The sequence below is a fragment of the Homo sapiens genome, chromosome 16 (assembly GCF_000001405.40).
Source record: "Homo sapiens chromosome 16, GRCh38.p14 Primary Assembly".
Classification (NCBI taxonomy): domain Eukaryota; kingdom Metazoa; phylum Chordata; class Mammalia; order Primates; family Hominidae; genus Homo; species Homo sapiens.
In genome coordinates, this window is record NC_000016.10 from 3,259,357 (window position 1) to 3,273,338 (window position 13,982).

The 13,982-nt window shown below is 48.4% G+C and overlaps 1 long non-coding RNA gene across 1 annotated transcript, besides 4 other annotated features; it reads left to right on the forward strand.

Moving 5' to 3' along the window:
* LINC00921 (long intergenic non-protein coding RNA 921) lies at positions 4,412-8,211 on the forward strand. Its single transcript, NR_033904.1, has 2 exons — positions 4,412-6,412; positions 7,770-8,211. It is a non-coding gene; the product is annotated as a long intergenic non-protein coding RNA 921 (long non-coding RNA).
* Positions 4,473-4,632: an enhancer, noted in NCBI's record as "active region_10316". NCBI's record gives its function as "activates an Ori minimal core promoter by ATAC-STARR-seq in GM12878 lymphoblastoid cells {active_cell/tissue: GM12878}" and the evidence as "EXISTENCE:reporter gene assay evidence [ECO:0000049][PMID:35858748]".
* Positions 4,653-4,832: a silencer, noted in NCBI's record as "silent region_7130". NCBI's record gives its function as "represses an Ori minimal core promoter by ATAC-STARR-seq in GM12878 lymphoblastoid cells {active_cell/tissue: GM12878}" and the evidence as "EXISTENCE:reporter gene assay evidence [ECO:0000049][PMID:35858748]".
* Positions 5,073-5,172: an enhancer, noted in NCBI's record as "active region_10317". NCBI's record gives its function as "activates an Ori minimal core promoter by ATAC-STARR-seq in GM12878 lymphoblastoid cells {active_cell/tissue: GM12878}" and the evidence as "EXISTENCE:reporter gene assay evidence [ECO:0000049][PMID:35858748]".
* Positions 5,323-5,392: an enhancer, noted in NCBI's record as "active region_10318". NCBI's record gives its function as "activates an Ori minimal core promoter by ATAC-STARR-seq in GM12878 lymphoblastoid cells {active_cell/tissue: GM12878}" and the evidence as "EXISTENCE:reporter gene assay evidence [ECO:0000049][PMID:35858748]".
* Positions 8,212-13,982: the final 5,771 nt, after the last annotated feature.

Consider the following 13,982-nt stretch of genomic DNA (forward strand, 5'->3'; position numbering starts at 1 on the left):
CTGGAAGGCAGTGTTTTGATGCCACTTTGGACTTTCTAGGGCAAGGCAGGCTCACAAAGCTTTTGTTTGGAGGGGTTCCAGTAATTTCTCACAGTGAAAATAGAATTATTGCCCTTCTAACGTCATTTAAGTGTTTAATAATCAAAGTGGAATGGTCATGGGCTGTCTTGTGTGCCCCTGCCATTGGATGTGTGACCTTATTTGGGGTGACATGGCAAATCTAAACCCAACAAAGCTGCTGCAAAGGGTCTACTCTCGGCTATTACTCCTGGGAAATGTGCGGCTCAGACACCACGACCTTCACTCCACTCCTGGTCACCAGGGGTTTCACTTTCTATGGCATTTACTTCTGCACATTTTGGGATTTAAAAAAATGAAGATTGTATTACTTTCGTAATAAGCAAAAAAGATAGTTTTAAAAAGTCTTTCAGACCAGGTGTGGTGGCGCACGCCTGTAATTTCAACACTTTGGAAGGCCGAGACAGGTGGATCACTTGAGGTCAGGAGTTCCAGACCAGCCTGGCCAACACGGCAAAACCTCGTCTCTAATGAAAATACAAAAATTAGCCAGGTGAGGTGGCCCGCGCCTGTAATCCCAGGTACTCCGGAGGCTGAGGTAGAACTGCTTGAACCTGGGAGGTGGAGGTTTCAGTGAGTCGAGATTGCATCACTGCACTCCAGGTTGGGCAACAGAGCAAGATTCCGTATTTAAAAAAAAAAAAAGTCTTTCACAATTAGCTTAACTTCTAAGGGAGTATCAGTCCCGTGCCCCTAAACCATCATGATAAAGGAGGTATATAGTATTTACTTATTTATTTACTTGATTTATTTTGAGACAGAGTCTCACTCTTATCACCTGGGCTGGAGTGCAGTGGCAAGATCATGGCCCACTGCAACCTCCGCCTCCCGGGTTCAAGCGATTCTCCTGCCTCTGCCTCCCGAGTAGCTGGCATTACAGGTGCCCGCCATTACACCCAGCTAATTTTTTGTATTTTTAGTAGAGACGGGGTTTCACCATGTTGGCCAGGCTGGTCTTGAACTCCTGACCTTGTGATTCGCCCGCCTCAGCCTCCCAAAGTTCTGGGATTACAGGCGTGCGCCACCGTGACCAGCCAACTATTTTTTCATAGATGATGAAATGTAGGCTTACAGGTAGGGTGACCAACACATTTTGTCTAGGAGCAAAACCCAATTTGCCCAGTCTTAGCACTGAAAGCCTAGTTCTGGGAACGACCACAGTCCGGGGAAATTGGGACAATTGCCCACCCTGTTTAGATGGGTTAATTGACATACTGAACACATGTCTAGCTAGGAAGAGGCACCACAGGGCCATTCATTTACTCTTGGAGCACCTGCTGTATGCCAGATGCTATTCTAGGTACTACTGATACAGAACTGAACAGAAAAAAACTTCTTGCAGTGCTCACATTCTTTTTTTTCTGATATAAATGCCCTTCAGAAGAGGCCACATTCTTTTTTTTTTTTCGAGATGGAATTTCACTCAGTCGCCCAGGCTGGAGGGCAGTAGCGCAATCTCGCCACTGCAACCTCTGCCTCCAGTGTTTGAGCGATCCTCCTGCCTCAGCGTCCCAAGTAGTTGGGATTATAGGTACCGACAACCACGCCTGGCTAATTTTTGTATTTTTAGTAGAGACGGGGTTTCACCATGTTGGCCAGGCTGGTCTTAAACTCCCGGCCTCAAGTGATTTACCCACCTCGGCCTCCCAAAGTGCTGGGATTACAGGCGTGAGCTGCTGCGCCTGGCTCAGAAGATCCCGCATTTTTTTTTTTTTGACGGAGTCTAGCTATATTGCCCAGGCTGGAGTGCAGTGGTGCTATCTCAGCTCACTGCAAGCTCCACCTCCCGGGTTCACGCCATCCTCCTGCCTCAGCCTCCCGAGTAGCTGGAACTACAGGCGCCTGCCACCACGCCCGGCTAATTTTTGTATTTTTAGTAGAGACGGGGTTTCACCGTGTTAGCCAGGATGGTCTCGATCTCCTGACCTTGTGATCTGCCCACCTCGGCCTCCCAAAGTGCTGGGATTACAGGCATGAGCCACTGCGCCCAGCCAAGAGCCCACATTCTTATAGGAAAGTGTGAATTGATATAAACAAACAAATACACAATGTATCAGGGAGTGATAAGTTGGGGGAAAAAACAGCAGAATAATAGGGTTAGTGAGTGCAGGGGATTGGTTTCATATTTTTTTATTTTTATTTATTTATTTAGAGACAGAGTCTCACTCTGTCACCCAGGCTGGAGTGCAGTGGTGCTATCTTGGCTCACTGCAACTTCTGCCTCCCGGGTTCAAGCAATTCTCCTGCCTCAGCCTCCCAAGTAGTTGGGATTACAGGCTCACACCACCATGCCAGGCTAATTTTTGTATTTTTAGTAAAGACGGGGTTTCACCATGTTGGCCAGGCCAGTCTCAAACAACTGACCTCAAGTGATCCAACCGCCTTGGCCTCCCAAAGTGCTGTGATTACAGGCATGAGCCACCGTGCCCCCTGGTTTCATATTTTAATAGGGCACTTGAAGAAGGCTTTTGTGCTTGAACAGAGACCCAAAGGAAGAGGAGTAAGCCAGGTATTCATTTTGAGGATGAGCAGTCTTTGCCTATTTACAGAGTGCAAAAGGGGTAACTTTGTGCTTAGTGTTTGAGGAAGAGTGGTGGCTGGAGCAGAGGCACGGAGGAGGAGTGGATGGAGGGGTTAGAGAGGGAGCTGGAGTCCCCTATCAAGTAGCAGGGCTCCCAGGACACAGCAAGGACTTGGCTCTTACTCTGAGATGAGGGGACACTGGAAAGTTTGAGCAGAGCAGTGACATAATTGGAGTTACGCTTTAAAAGAAACATTCTGGGCCGGGCGCGGTGGCTCACACATATAATCCAGCACTTTGGGAAGCCAAGGAAGGTGGATCACCTGAGGTCAGAAGTTCGAGATAAGCCTGGCCAACATGGTGAAAGCCCGTCTCTACTGAAAATACAAAAATTTGCTGAGTGTGGTGGTGATGTGCGCGTAGTCCCAGCTACTCTGGAGGCTGAGGTGAATCACCTGAACCTGGGAGGCGGAGGTTGCAGTGACCTGTGATCGCACCACTGTACTCTGGCCTGGGTGAAAGAGTGAGACTGTTTCAAAAAAAGAAAGAAAAGAAAAGAGAACACTCTGGCTTCCATAAGAGACAAGAGATGAGAAAGGTGGAAACAGAGAGGAGAAAGCAATCTATTGTCACAATGCAGGAAAGCGACTGCAGGGCCCTGAACCACTGTGGAGGCAGAAGGGTCAGATTCTGGGTGATTCTGAAAGCAGGGCTGACATGATAAGGGTAGACTGGATACTGGCGGGTGTGAAGATGCATCTAAGATACCTGTTTCTGGCCAGATTTTACAAAGGGCCCTTGTTGCTACCTTAAGGAGTTAGTGTTGAATCCTGCAGCAGCTAAGAGCTTCTGCAGGATCTCCCTCTCAACTTGGACCAACCCACCTGCCGATCCCAGCCCAGATCAATGAGATCTGCTGCCCAGTCCCCTACGCAGATAACACTAATTGTAACTGATCTTTCTGAGGGCACCTCCTGAGCAGCTTGGAAACGGAGGGAGAGGAGAGGAAGCCAGCTTCCCAAAGTGGGGTGTGGCAGGTGGCCTTAACCCTGCTGAAGGGCTGCAGTCATGGGGCTCTGAATAGATCCCCACACCACTCACCAATGAGCTTCATTTGGAAGGCGGTAACGTTAAACAAGAGGGTTTGTAAAAAATAAAGGCCTACACACATAATTTTTTCTGATTATTAAATCTAGGTGGAGAGTACGTGAGTATTCATGTTACTCTCTCAACTTTCTTGTGCTTAAAAATCTTAAAATAAAAACTTTAATACGCTCTGTCCTACCAATATTTATAGGAACCTGACTAGCAGCCAGGCTTTGGACACGCAATCCCCGGCCACCAAAGGGCTGACAGGCTAGTGAAAGGGGCAGAAAAATAACAAAACTGTGTCTGGAAGGCAGCTACTCCCTTTTTTTGTTTGTTTGTTTTTTGAGACGCAGTCTCACTCTGTCGCCCATGCTGGAGTGCAGTGGCGCGATCTTAGCTCACTACATGTGCCTCCGGGGTTCAAGCGATTCTCCTGCCTCAGCCTCCTGAGTAGCTGGGACTACAGGCGCGCGCCACCACGCCCGGCTAATTTTTGTATTTTTTAGTAGAGACAGGGTTTCACCATATTGGTCAGGCTGGTCTCGAACTCCTGACCTCGCGATCCGACCGCCTCGGCCTCCCAAAGTGGTGGGATTACAGGCGTGAGCCACCGCGCCCGGCCCTTTGTTTTCTTACCAACTAAGCAGCAGCACTGACACTGTTTCCTTTGAGGTTCCGTTTGCTGAATCCTGCCCTCTAAGGTGCTCCGCCCTTCCACTCCCCGCCCCGTGCTGCTGTCATTCCCACGCCTCACCCTGTTTTGCAACTTCTTGTTTATGAGCCTGGAAGCCACGAAGTGGTGGGAAATACGAGATTCAAATATCTGGTGGCCGTGTGACGTGAGTAAATTACTCGATTTTTCTCAGTTTCCATTTCCTATCAAATGGGTTGTTCTGGGAATTCGGGGAAGTAACAGTGCCGGGAACCGCGGGAGGAACCGCCAGCTGCGTCCTCGGACGTCCCCAAAGCCCAGGGCGGCGACTGGCACGACTGTCAGGGGCGCGTCTGTTAAGAGGACAGGGGGTCCCGCCCCGGCACAGCCGTCTCCTCCAGGACCCCTCCCGCCGACGCCCCACGGACCCCACGCCCGAGCGGAGACCGGCGCGAGTCCGGGGTCTCCGGTCCGGCAGCCCCTCCCTGGCCCGGCGCCCCAAAGGGAAGCGGCCTGGGGGAGGAGACGTGTGGAAAGAGCGGCAGAAGATAAAGAGGAAGTAGCGGTAGAGAATAAAAAGGAACTGTCCGCAGTGTGCCCGGACGCGGGGAGGCGCTGGGGTCAAGCGAGACCCGACCTGCACGCAATTCCCGCCGGGGTCCCGGCCTGCCTGCGGGAGGGAAAGGACCCAGGGCGGCTTCTGCCAAAAGTGCGGCTTCTGCCGAAAGTGCGTCTTCTGCCGAGGGGCCCACATAAGGCGCGACAGACACTCCAGCCCGACCCCGACGCCCCGCCCTCACGCATGCACATGCGCGGAACACTCCCAGAAACACATCTCCCAGAGCGCCCCGGGAGCACGCGAGCCAATTGGAGGGCGGATTAGCGGGGGCCCACGTCTCCCAGAGGTCTCCGAGTCGCGGCTCTGTTGGTCTGATTGGCAGCCGCAACAGCCTATAGCTGCTTTTCGCCGGAGGGGCCACGCGCCGTTTGCCGGGACTGAGCCGCTGTTGTCGCTGGTATCCCGGGAGCAGCGCCGGCAAGTGGAGTCGTCGTATTCCGGGCGGCCCGCGGCCCACGGGGATGGGACGTCCCGGGGCTGTGCTGACCCCAAAACCCTTCCACACTTTATTAGCCTGTCGCCCTTCTTTCATGTTTACAGCAAATATTTTCCGAGTGCCTAATGTGTCCCACTTACTGTGCCACGTGCGAGGGTGCACGTGTCAGGCAAGATCGCTGTTCCAAGGAGGCTGAGAACAAGTAAATGGTAATTACCAGTTATGACCAAAGCTGTGAAAGGAACAGATACATCAGCCTAACAGCAGCACTGCCGTTTTCTCCCTTATAATCAGCAGAGGCGGGCTAGAGCAAGGATTCTCAAACTCTGCCCCCTCAGAACCCTAGAGTACGGTTGCTGAAACTTCTGTTTTTTCCTTTTGAACAAATCTAGTAACATGCTGTGAGCCAGAGAGGTAATGGTTTGGCTCAAAGAAGGCACATGCATCTGGTTTCTTTCTTCTTTTTTGAGACGGAGTCTCGCTCTGTCGTCCAGGCTGGAGTGCAGTGGCGCCATCTCCGCTCACTGCAAGCTCCGCCTCGCGAGTTCACGCCAGTCTCCTGCCTCAGCCTTCCGAGTAGCTGGGATTACAGGCGCCCGCCACCACGCCCGGCTAATTTTCACGCCCGGCTAATTTTTTGTATTTTTAGTAGAGACGGGGTTTCACCATGTTAGCCAGGATGGTCTCGCTCTCCTGACCTCGTGATCCGCCCGCTTCGGCCTCCCAAAGTGCTGGGATTACAGGCGTGAGCCACCGCGCCCGGCCCAGGTTTCTTATTTCAGGAGCTTCATAGGCATAGACCTCCCTCCTTCCCTCCTACCCCCTCCCCCCTCTCCCAACTAATGCCAGACCGGCCACTACTTTTTAACTGTTTTACATATTTAACCTTCAAGAAAGATTTCCTTTGATCCAAGTGTATTGCAGCCCACAAAAAAGCTTGGAAACCCAGCTAGATGGTCTGTTTTTCTAGTTCCTACATTGGATTTAAGTCCTACCCATCGAGACTACTGTCTTCAGGTAAGCATATCGAGGCTGTATTCACCTTCATGGTGTTCTCAGGGGCACTTTCTTACACAAATGATGGTAATCATCCTAGATCATTTCCCTGCCTGCCACACTTGCCAGTTAGTTAGAAACTGTAAACCCCTTAAATGTCTGTCACCAGGGCACTGGCTGAATAGCTGAGTAAGTTTTGGTGAATCCATTCCTTGGACTACACTGCATCCACTGAAAACAGTGCGGTGAATTTCTGTGTGCTAATGTGCAAAGATGGTTTATGTATTATTCAGTGGAAAAAGCACATTTGCACTACAGTGCAGATAGCATGATCCCATGTTTGTAAATAAGAGAAAAAAATGTTAAAATTTAAGTATCTGGAGGGAAATGCAAGAAATAAATATGACTACCTTTCAAGAGTAGAATTGGGGGTAGAAGTTGGCCTTTTCCCTCTATGTCATCTATACGTTTTATTTTTTTATTTTATTATTATTTTTTTGAGACGGAGTCTCACGCTGCTGCCCAGGCTGGAGTGCAGTGGCATGATCTGGGCTTACTGCGACCTCCGCCTCCCGGGTTCAAGCAATTTTCTGTCTCAGCCTCCTGAGTAGCTGGGATTACAAGCGCACGCCACCACGCCCGGCTAATTTTTGTATTTTTAGTTAGAGATGGGGTTTCACCATGTTGGTCAGGCTGGTCTCGAACTTCTGACCTTGTGTTCTGCCCGCCTCAGCCTCCCAAAGTGCTCAGATTACAGGCGTGAACCAGTATGCCCGGCGTTCAATGAGCATTTTTAAAGTTTTATGACTCATGAAACATAGTCCACAAATATATGCTCATTGTGAAATAGTAACGGAAAATAAAATATGGCAAGCTAAATGTTAGAGGAGAAATTTCTTATTTTGCTCCATTACTTTTACAGCAGAAAAATTAAAAAATTTATTAGCTGAGACTTTGTTTCACTGGGGTGCAGAAGATTAAACAAATGATTTTTAAAAGCAGACTCTGCCCATAGAGAAAAAATATTCGAGGTTTCCAAAGTAGAATAAGTTTAAATTAGCAAGTCAAATAAGGAACCTTGAGCCAGTACCGAAGGAAACACGTCCCAGACCTATCTCCAAACACACACACACACACACACACACACACACACTGCAGGCATAACATTTATGCAGACAGACTGTTCTTTAGGGCATAATTGTCTCATGTCTCAATTCCTCTGAAGCTCCAGAGCAGAAACTGAAATTTTAAAAATGCAGTTGAGATAAACTGAAATGACTGACAGGCCATTTGCCAAGAAAAGCTTTGGTTCTTTGGAACAAAGACAGTGCCCATATCCCAGCCAACATCAGGTGGTATTTCTCTTTCTGTCCTGTAGAGGGCATCTTCATGTGTGGGCACCAGGGCTGCGGCTGGAACCACAGTGGACACCCCACGCTCCAAGGACAATCCTCTGCAGAAACCAGCAGCTGGAAACAATTCTTAATGCTGCAGGAAGTAGTTAGGAGAAAACGACTGTGTAAGTCAGAGCTAAAACTGGAGTTCAAAAACCACAGAAAATATTTCCAAGGCTGTCTGTGAAGTGGGGATGTCAAAATACCAAAAATTACAGCTTTGGAACTGCAGTGGATGACCTTTAATTGATGCAGTTTATAGGTGCTAAGTATTGTGTGTGCTTTACGTTGCCTCATGTGAGTGCTTCATAGCAGGGTGTGACGCTGGCCAAGTGATATACCTACCCTCTTTGTCCCTGTTTCTATCAACTGTAAAATGGGGGTTCTAGAGTTGTTGTGAAGATTAAATGAGCTAATACACACAAAGCACCAAGAACAATGCTGGATACAAGGTAATAGGTGTTTCTTCCTAGACTTCACTATCCTCATGTGAGGTGGGTATGTTTATTTATTTATTTGGGGACAGGGTCTCGCTCTATCACCCAGACTGGAGTGCAGTGTTGCAATCATGGCTTAGCTCCCTACAGCTTTTTAAATTTAATTATTTATTATTATTATTTTTTTGAGATGGAGTCTCACTCTGTCACCCAGGCTGGAGTGCAGTGGCACGATCTCTGCTTACTGCAAGCTGGGCCTCCCGGATTCACACCATTCTCCTGCCTCAGCCTCCTGAGTAGCTGGGACTACAGGCGCCTGCCACCACGCCCAGCATATTTTTGTATTTTTAGTAGAGGCGGGGTTTCACCGTGTTAGTCAGGATGGTCTCGATCTCCTGACCTTGTGATCTGCCCACCTCGGCCTCCCAAAGTGCTGGGATTACAGGCGTGAGCCACCGTGCCTGGCCTCAGCTCCCTACAGCTTTGACCTCCCCAGCTCAAGTAATGTCCCACTTCAGCCTCCCGAGTAGCTGACACTACAGGAATGCACCATCATGTATACCTGTGGTCCTAGCTACTTGGGAAGCTGAGGTGGGAAGATTGCCCCTGAAATAAGACTCTAGATACAGGTCCCTTTCTCTGAAATTTTTGAAACAAAACGCCTAATTCAAAAAAAGTTATTTTTGGTAGAGACGGGGTCTCACTATGTTTCCCAGGCTGATCTCAAACTTGGGTTCAAGCCATCCTCCCTCATTGGCCTCCCAAAGTGTTGGGATTATAGGCAGGAGCCACTGTGCCTGTCCAAGGTGGGTGTTGATATATTCAATTTAACACAGAAAACAGGAAGTTTGTACACACTGACTTGCCCAAGGCTACACAACTACAAAGAGTCAGGTAGCCAACATTCAGTCTCAAGGTCTGTGTCTGCAGAGCTCAAGGCCTTTCCTTTGGCTTTGCTGTCTCTTGGCATCTGGTAGCTTAGCAGTCATCAAGCCAACCCCGTCATGTTACAGAGGAGGACACAGGCTTCCAGGGGAACTGACTGACTTGAGTTCTACACATCAGTGCAGAGCTGGGACTAGAATTCTGTCCACCTAACTGTATTTGGAAGAAAGTTAAGTGCTATTGACTACACCTAATATCTGAAAGATAAAGGGAGAGGCAGAAGCAAGAATGAATAATGTGGCTGGGCGCGGTGGCTCACGCCTTTAATCCCAGCACTTTGAGAGGCCGAGGCAGGTGGATCACGAGATCAGGAGTTCAAGACCAGCCTGACCAACATGGTGAAACTCCATTTCTACTAAAAATACAAAAATTAGCCGGGCATGGTAGCGTGCGCCTGTAACCCCAGCTACTAAGTAGGCTGAGGCGGGAGGATCGATTGAAGCCGGGAGGTGGAGGTTGCAGTGAGCCGAGATCGCACCATTGCACTCCAGCCTGGGCAACAGAGCGAGACTCTGTCAAAAAGAAAAAAAAAAGAATGAATAATTTTTAAAGCAGGCTGTGAAGAACTAAAAACATGAGGACACGGAAATTCAGAAACACCCATTTCAATATGATTCCTTTCGGATAACTTGAAGCCCAAACAGGATGGAAAATCACAGGCCAAAGTCACCTGAAGGAAGGCTGTCACCCATGACGGACAACCGGGATGTTGCTCTCCATTCATCCCAACGGCAGCAAAGTCTGTCCTGGAACATGGAATGGTTTCTTTATACAGACAACTAAGACTGGCTCCAAGAGAAGAGTTGCTACCACTAACCCCTACATGCTGCCTTGAAAGAGTTGGTGGTAGGTGTTGGAAAATTAATCTGAGTAATTAGGAAACAAAATTTGAAACAAAGAATCCCATGCACAATAGTAGCAAAACCCATAACCAGACATGATAAGAAATTTGCAAGACCTATAAGAAGAAAAGTATATAGGATTACAGAATTTTAAAAGTCCCAGATCATTGAAGAAATACACCACAGTCGTGGATGGAAGAGTTAATATTACAAATATATCATGCATTCCTAAATTAATCAACAAATTATAAGCAAACCCAATTGAAATTGTAACGAGATTTTTTTTTTACATTTTTAAAAAAATGTGATCTTGCTATGTTGCCTGAGCTGGTCTCAAACTTCTAAGCTCATGCGATCTTCCTGCCTTGGCCTCTCAAAATGCTGGCATTACAAGTGTGAGCCACCATGCCCAGCCATAACAAGACTTTCTTTTTTTTTTCAGACTGGGTCTCACTGTTGCCCAGGCTGGAGTGCAGTGGCGTGATCTCAGGTCACTGCAACCTCTGCCTCCCAGGTTCAAGTGATTCTCCTGCCTCAGCCTCCCGAGTAGCTGGGATTACAGGTGCGCCCCACCATGCCCAGCTAATTTTTGTATTTTTAGTAGAGATGAGGTTTCGCCATGTTGGCCAGGCTGTTCTGCCCACCTCACCCTCCCAAAGTGCTGGGATTACAGGCATCAGCCACCGCACCAGGCTGCAAGATGTTTAAGAATGGGCTTTGACAAGTTGATTTTTAAAATTCATAGCCAAAAAAATTGTGAAAAAAATACAGTGGTGTGAGATGTATTGTAACAGATATAACAACAAGCTGTGAAAATACAGTAAATTAGAACAGTAATATGTTTTTACAAGAATGGATATAAGGTAAATGGAAACAAGATTCCGTAAGACGTGTGTATATGCAAAAGATGGTATTTAAAACCCAAGGGGAAAAGGTGGCCCAACTTATAAATAGTTTTGGGACTGTTGACAGTTGAGCTGGAAAACATAGACTTCTGCCTGACATATATAAAAAATAAACTCCATATATATATATATATATATATATATATATATATATATTTTTTTTTTTTTTTGAGACGGAATGTCGCTCTTGTTTCCCAGGCTGGAGTGCAATGGTGTGATCTGGGCTCATTGCAACCTCTGCCTCCCAGGTTCAAGTGATTCTCCTGCCTCAGCCTCCCAAGTAGCTGGGATTACAGGCATGTGCCACCACACCCGGCTAATTTTTTGTATTTTTAGTGGAGATGGGTTTTCACCATGTTGCCCAGACTGGTCTCGAACTCCTGACCTCGAGTGATCCACCCGCCTCGGCCTCCCAAAATGCTGGGATTACAACCATGAGCCACCGCACCTGGCCCAGATGATTTAAAGAAACACGAAGTGTAATATCTGTAAATTTGTTTAAATTTCGCAGTGAGGAAGATCTTTCTTTTTTTTTATTTTTTATTTTTTTATTGATCATTCTTGGGTGTTTCTCGCAGAGGGGGACTTGGCAGGGCCATAGGACAACAGTGGAGGGAAGGTCAGCAGACAAACAAGTGAACAAAGGTCTCTGGTTTTCCTAGGCAGAGGACCCTGCGGCCTTCTGCAGTGTTTGTGTCCTTGGGTACTTGAGATTAGGGAGTGGTGATGACTCTTAACGAGCATGCTGCCTTCAAGCATCTGTTTAACAAAGCACATCTTGCACTGCCCTTAATCCATTTAACCCTGAGTGGACACAGCACATGTTTCAGAGAGCACAGGGTTGGGGGTAAGGTCACAGATCAACAGTATCCCAAGGCAGAAGAATTTTTCTTAGTACAGAACAAAATGAAAAGTCTCCCATGTCTACTTTTTTCTACACAGACACAGCAACCATCTGATTTCTCAATCTTTTCCCCACCTTTCCCCCTTTTCTATTCCACAAAACCGCCATTGTCATCATGGCCCCTTCTCAATGAGCTGTTGGGTACCCCTCCCAGACGGGGTGGTGGCTGGGCAAAGGGGCTCCTCACTTCCCAGAAGGGGCGGCCGGGCAAAGGCGGCCCCCCACCACCCGGACGGGGCGGTTGGGCGGGCGGAGGCACCCCCCACCTCCCTCCCGGACGGGGCGGCTGGCCGGGCAGGGGCTGACCCCCCACCTCTCTCCCGGACGGGGCGGCTGGCCGGGCAGGGGCTGACCCCCCACCTCCCTCCCGGACGGGGCGGCTGGCCGGGCGGGGGCTGACAGATCTTTCTAACCAAGATAAAAAAACTGAAAAAGTTAAAAAATTCAGGTAAATAGAAAAATTAGAAAACTTCAGTATGACAAAAACAGCCATGAATATGGTTAAAAGGCTGGATGCAGTGGCTCATGCCTGTAATCCCTGCACTTTGGGAGGCCAAGGTGGGAGGATTGCTTGAGCCTAGGGGTTTGAGTCTCCACAATGTAGGCAGACCCCATCTCTACCCTCCCTCACAAAATTAACTGGCCATGGTGGTGTGCGCCTGTGGTCCCAGCTACTCAAGAGGCTAAGTTGGAAAGATCGCTTGAGCCTGGGAGGTCAAGGCTGCAGTGAGCTGTGATTGCACCACTGCACTCCAGTCTGGGTGATGGAGCAAAACCCTGTCTTAAAAAATAAAAATAAAAAAGGTGACAGAGAAAATATTTGTACATACGATAATACCTGGAATGTTAAAGCACTATAATTTTTTTAATGCTCAAAGGCTTAAATAGGCAACTCACGGCCGGGCGTGGTGGCTCACACCTGTAATCCCAGCACTTTGGGAGGCTGAGGCGGGTGGATCACGAGGTCAGGAGATCGAGACCATCCTGGCTAACACAGTGAAACCCTGTCTCTACAGACTACAAAAAATTAGCCAGGCATGGTGGCACGTGCCTGTAGTCTCAGCTACTCGCGAGGCTGAGGCAGAAGAATTGCTTGAACCCAGGAGGCGGAGATTGCAGTGAGCTGAGATCCTGACACGCACTACAGCCTGGGCAATAGACTGAGACTCCATCTCAAAAAAAAAAAAAAAAAAGGCAACTCAGAGAAGAAATACAAAGTACCACGTGAAAAGATGCCCAATCTCCAAGTAATCAGAAACATGACAGGCAACAAGGGGATATTATTTTTTTTTAAATAGCGGCAGAGTCTTGTTATGTTACCCAGGCTGGTTTAGAACTCCTGGGCTCAAGCAGTCCTCCTGCCTTGGCCTTCCAAAAGTGCTGGGATTACAGGCCCTAAGCCACCACACCCGGCTGAGGGGACATAATTTTTCACCCACTATATTATCACAAATTAATATGATTGCCACAGCCAACTTTAATGAGCATGCAGACATAGAAGCACTTTCACACCTCAGGTTACGAGTTAAATTTGTGAAGCTTTTTTTTTTTTTTTTTTTTTTTTGTGATGGAGTCTCACTCTTTTACCCAGGCTGGAATGCAGTGATGCAATCTCGGCTCCCTGCAACCTCCACCTCTGAGGTTCAAGCGATTCTCCCACGTCAGCCTCCTGAGTAGCTGGGATTACAGGCACCCGCCACCATGCCCGGCTAATTTTTGTATTTTTAGTAGAGACGGGGTTTCACCGCGTTGGCCAGGCTGGTGTCAAACCCCTGACTTTAGGTGATCCGCCCGCCTCGGCCTCCCAAAGTGCTAGGATTACAGGTGTCAGCCACTGCTCCTGGCCTGTGAAGCTGTTTTGGAAGGTGATTTGCTGCAAGTTTTCAAAATTAAAAATGCACAAGCCTAGGCCAGGCACGGTGGCTCATGCCTGTAATCACAGTACTTTGGGAGGCCGAGGTGAGCAGATCACTTCAGCCCAGGAGTTTCAGACCAGCCTGACCAACAAAGTGAGACCTCGTTGCTACAAGAAATAAAAAATTGGGTGGCACATGCCTGTGGTCCCAGCTACTCTGAAGGGTGAAGTGGGAGGACTGCTTGAGCCCAGGAGGTCAAGGATGCAGTGAGCCAAGATTATGCCACTGCACTCCAGCCTGGGTGACAG